Source organism: Homo sapiens, chromosome 10, assembly GCF_000001405.40.
Source record: "Homo sapiens chromosome 10, GRCh38.p14 Primary Assembly".
Taxonomy (NCBI): domain Eukaryota; kingdom Metazoa; phylum Chordata; class Mammalia; order Primates; family Hominidae; genus Homo; species Homo sapiens.
The window spans coordinates 44,037,886-44,043,654 of NC_000010.11; the positions used below are offsets into that span (position 1 = coordinate 44,037,886).

Below are 5,769 nucleotides of genomic sequence, written 5' to 3' on the forward strand. Positions count from 1 at the left end.
ACTTCAAACTATACTACAAGGCTACAGTAACCAAAACAGCATGGTACTGGTACCAAAACAGAGATATAGATCAATGGAACAGAACAGAGCCCTCAGAAATAATGCCACATATCTACAACTATCTGAACTTTGACAAACCTGAGAAAAACAAGCAGTGGGGAAAGGATTCCCTATTTCATAAATGGTGCTGGGAAAACTGGCTAGCCATATGTAGAAAGCTGAAACTGGATCCCCTCCTTACACCTTATACAAAAATTAATTCAAGATGGATTAACGACTTAAACGTTAGACCTAAAACCATAAAAACCCTAGAAGAAAACCTAGGCATTACCATTCAGGACATAGGCATGGGGAAGGACTTCATGACTAAAACACCAAAAGCAATGGCAACAAAAGCCAAAATTGACAAATGGGATCTAATTAAACTAAAGAGCTTCTGCACAGCAAAAGAAACTACCGTCAGAGTGAACAGGCAACCTACAAAATGGGAGAAAATTTTCACAACCTACTCATCTGACAAAGGGCTAATATCCAGAATCTACAATGAACTCAAACAAATTTACAAGAAAAAAACAAACAACCCCATCAGAAAGTGGGCGAAGGACATGAACAGACACTTCTCAAAAGAAGACATTTATGCAGCCAAAAAACACAGGAAAAAATGCTCACCATCACTGGCCATCAGAGAAATGCAAATGAAAACCACAATGAGATACCATCTCACACCAGTTAGAATGGCAATCATTAAAAAGTCAGGAAACAACAGGTGCTGGAGAGGATATGGAGAAATAGGAACACTTTTACACTGTTGGTGGGACTGTAAACTAGTTCAACCATTGTGGAAGTTGGTGTGGCGATTCCTCAGGGATCTAGAACGAGAAATACCATTTGACCCAGTGATCCCATTACTGGGTATATACCCAAAGGACTATAAATCATGCTGCTATAAAGACACATGCACACATATGTTTATTGCGGCACTATTCACAATAGCAAAGACTTGGAACCAACCCAAATGTCCAACAACGATAGACTGGATTAAGAAAATATGGCACATATACACCATGGAATACTATGCAGCCATAAAAAATGATGAGTTCATGTCCTTTGTAGGGACATGGATGAAATTGGAAATCATCATTCTCAGTAAACTATCGCAAGAACAAAAAACCAAACACCGCATATTCTCACTCATAGGTGGGAATTGAACAATGAGAACACATGGACACAGGAAGGGGAACATCATACTCTGGGGACTGTTGTGGGGTTGGGGGAAGGGGGAGGGATAACTTTAGGAGATATACCTAATGCTAAATGACGAGTTAATGGGTGCAGCACACCAGCATGGCACATGTATACATATGTAACTAACCTGCACATTGTGCATACGTACCCTAAAACTTAGAAAGTATAATAAGAATAAAATTAAAAAATAATAATAATAATAATAATTTAAAATTCTATTCTACAAACACTAACAGAGTTAAAATTGAAAGAAAGAGTTGTGACAACAGTGACAGGCATAGTTTTTTAAAAATCTTATCCCAAACTACAAAATTCTCTGAAGTCAGAAAAGGACAAGAGGTTAAAGAATATAACAAGAAGTTTTATTTAAAGTAAAGTATAAATGATAAACACACATTAGGGAAAATAAAAATCAGTTCGATTTTCTTATTAATTAAAGCAATGCAAAGTAGAATTTTATAAGGAAAGCTTGTATGCTCAGTTCAAGTCTCTTTTCATTTATCACACTGCCTGTGTTGATGTCATTTTAATTCTGCCATGCCTTCATTGAGTTATTCATTGATTCGAAGGTGGATCTCAATTTGACCATTCTCAATTCAGTCACGGAGGTGCCAAAGGAAATATCAGAAGCTTGCCAAGGTAACCAACAGAGCCTAGAGCTGATGTGTGATTGTATTGTCCTGAGAGATATTAGAATAACATTCTTTTGTTCTTCCTCAAGAAAAGCAAAACCTCAAAGACTCCGTAAGCCAGAAGCAAATATATTTCAAATCCAAGTAAATTGCCTTGAGATTCCTTCACATTTGGCCCCTATGTGAAGCTTAAACACAGAGATAAGTGCATTTGTGTGCTTCATGTGCACTGGAATCCAGTGGTGCAATTTCATTATGAAAACAGTGATCATTAGGAGTGTATCCAGCTTGAGAGGGAGTTGTGCGTCACTGAATCATGGACTGCCAGGTGGTAGAGGAGATGGCAGTTTTCATCTGCTCTGAACCTGCAGAGGCCCCGTCTGCACACCTACTAGGTGGGCACCCATGGCATTTGCTTGGGTGCTTTGTTTCCATGTCATTGCCATGGCCTTCAGAAAGATAGGACTGTAAGGATTCTGAATGGCAGCTTGGGAGGCTCAAAGGATTCAGAGAGAAAACAAGCATCAGTAGTTCTTTTAAGAGTGATGACAATGATTATTGATAAATAGCTGGCTACGATCTTTGAGAGATGAGAATATGAGGTGAACTTTGTGTTCTCTCTGTTTTCTGCATTGAGTCACTTTCTGAACTGTGACATGAGGAAGTAGAGCTCCATAAAGAGCTGCAGCCTCACTCATCAGTGAAGCAGCTGGATATTTGGAGCCAGGACCATGGCTAAAGTGTGTGGGGCATAAAACTGGAGAGGAGGGAACTACTTAGAAAAGGGACACCAGTAGCCACTCCACAATGTATACATATTTCAAAACACCATGATACATACCATAATATATACAACTTTTCATTAATTAAAAAAGTAAAAACTGAAAACTATGGGGAATCCATTGAAAAAAGAGAAAAGAAAAGGGGCACAAAAATATTCGAGATCTCCTTGAGTCTTTGGCTGAGCACTATACTTCATGTGCACAAAGCAAGACTGAAAGCTGCAGCTACTGGAGGCTCTAAGCTAAAAGGAGGCTTCAGAGGTCATACAGTTCTGAGAGATGCTGGAGTTCTAACCAGCAAGATCAGAATGAGCTCACTGAATGAAGTCCTAAATGGTCAATACCTCAGGGTAGGGCTATGTTAGCCCTAGACTAAAGGATACTCTAGATGTGCCTTAACAAAGCTGAAGATCAATCCTTGGCCAACTGATGCTTATCTACCAGTAAATAAACTGCCTTCCACAACAAAAATTGATACTTTTTGAAGGAAGAAAACTAAATTCATTTTCTCAACAGTGTAACTAACTACTGTTACATATGATTGAAAACTACTAGGCATGAGAAGAAGTAGGAAAATGTGATGCATAACAAAAAAGTCAGTATAAACAGACCCAAAGATGAGACAAATTTTTCCATTAGCAGGCATGGACTACAGTTAATATAAATGTATTGAAAGATTTCAATTAAAAAGTAAGCAGAATAGCTGAGCAGAAGGGGAACAGGGTCAGAAACATGGAAACTAGAAAATAAACCAAATAGATATTCTAAAACTAAAAAATTATTATATTTAAAGTGAAACGTTCAATAGATAGACTTAAGACAATGCTATATACATTACAAAAGAAAACATCAGTGAACTGGAAGACAGAGCTATACAAACTATCTAAACTAAAAAACAAAGAGAATAACGCTTTTTTAAAAAAAGCAGATTTTTTAGGTGGACCTGATTTTTTAGGTGGAGATATTTTAGGTGAGGTGGGGAGGAGAAGGAATACATTACATAAAAGGTGAAGTAACTCTGGAGGCTGAGATGGGAGGATCGCTTGAGCACAGGAGTTCAAGGCTTCAGTAACCTATGATTGCACCACTGCACTCCAGCCTGGGCAACAGAGTGAGACTCTCTCTCAAAACAAAAACCAAAAACCAAACAAACAAAAAAGTGAGGTCACTAAATTATAGAGAGATAAAAGGACTATCCCAACATCAAAGAAACAGTAAAATTCACATTGGGAAATCAAACGTTTATCTTCTGATGCTCAGTCTAACACCTTTTCCTACAGAAAAGGCACTGGCCAAGGCAATGGATGTGCTGATGCTTTTTGGCTGATTGGGACATTTGGGGGCTGTGTTCAGACTGGAACCAGTGAGTTTGTTTCAGAAAGGAGATTTGAAGAATTGTGATATTTCTAATTTCAAAGCAAGGCAAAAAGGCCTAAATCTTGCAGTTGGTTCCAGGTAGGTCAAGTCACCAATTTTCTGAACCTCAGACTGCACATATATAAAAGAGACATTATGTGCTGTGTGCACAGAATGTGGTGAATATTAAGTTGAAGCACACAGGAGCAGCCAGCCCCCAGGGAACATACCTTTCCATACTGTGGATCAAGGGTCTTGAACTATTATCCATCATTACACTGAGCTCCTGAGAGCCAGGGACAGAGGTACTGGATCCTTTGTTCTGCAAAACAAGGCCAGCATGACTAAATAAGAGCCAAAGTGGATGTGCATAAAAGAGTGCTTCTTTTGGCAGTTCCCAGCCCCAGTTGCCCTGGGCTCAGAAACACAGGCCAATCTGCAATGTTATCAGTCTGTCTGGGCCCAGCCTCCTCAGAGTCAAAGTTCCCAGATCCCACAGGGCAGCATCCTCACCCTACTCCAGTGCTAAAGCTGGGATACTGAGCAGGGTGTCAGTAGAAACCCAGACAGAAAGCTGAAATCTCCCGGTTTCCCTGATGCGTGAAGGTGGAGACATTACTTGTCAGATTCCAGCTCCACCTGGAAAGGCCTGGGCAGGATTGGCCACATCAGTGTCTACTGCCTGCTGTGAGACCTAAGGAGTAGCCCATAATGCCCATTCATTCAATCAGCAAACATTCACTGAACATCAGTTCTGTGCCAAGTGCTGCATGGGGCCCTGGAAGAGTAGCAGTGGATAGGACAGACCCAGTTCTTGCTCCTGTGGGCTCATCACACTGTGGCTTGGTAACCCCTCTAATAATGTGGGTGCAGGGGCAAGAATTACAGACCTATTAAGCAAACCTGGTCCCCAATATTCCTTCCTTTCTCCTGTCAGACCCCTAAAGATACAGGGAAAACTGAAATATTGAGCATCAGTTTAGGGGTGCAGAGAAGTTTCAGTGGCAGCTTTGGGGATTTGGAGGACCCGATTTGGAGGTCCCCACCCTGTCCCTCTTTGGTCCTAGCAGGGCTCAGCCCCACATGGACACTTCTGGCTGCATTGCTCCTGTGCCCCCACTTCCAAATGCACAGGTAGGAATCGCCCCTGTTCACTGTGCTGATGCCACCTCCTGGCAGTTTCTTCTCTGATTCTGTCTCCTGTGCCTGGCATGGCTTGGATCCAAATCTGCATCCCAACCTCCCCAATGCACCAGGTAAGTCTTCAAAGATACGAATAAAGGAAATATGTAGGAAACAAAAGACACGTCAATGAAGAGGTGGACCCACATTTTGGGGTCTTCACTGTAGCCAAGGAAAGGATGTTGTGGTCTGTGTTAGGTGAGCCATCTACTCCTATGACTCCAATGTGCCTGACTCCCAGGAAGAGCTCAGCCCAGGGACCCCTTGATTTAGCCTTGTCCATCCCTATTCCCATCCTCAGGGATTTCACTGTTGACATGTTCTCTCCATGACTCAGAGCAGTTGTTCACCTTGTTGGTCAGGTGAGGACACTGGGTCAAACGGGGGACCCGGGTGCCAGTGATGCATCTGGTGAGAGACAGGCACAGGCAGGGACCCAGGCCAGGGCTCCTGCCTCTCGGGCTCTGGCCCTCCCAGTCCATCCCGCCTCTCGGGCTCTGGTCCTCCCAGTCCATCCCAGGGCTTCTCCCTGCAGCATCCTCTGCCCGGGCCCAGGATCTGCTTTGCAGAGG

At 42.2% G+C, this 5,769-nt stretch overlaps 1 annotated feature.

Moving 5' to 3' along the window:
• Positions 4,058 to 4,578: an enhancer, noted in NCBI's record as "NANOG hESC enhancer chr10:44537391-44537911 (GRCh37/hg19 assembly coordinates)". NCBI's record gives its function as "activates a minimal SCP1, AML or CMV promoter by ChIP-STARR-seq in primed H9 embryonic stem cells {active_cell/tissue: H9 hESC(primed)}" and the evidence as "EXISTENCE:reporter gene assay evidence [ECO:0000049][PMID:30033119]".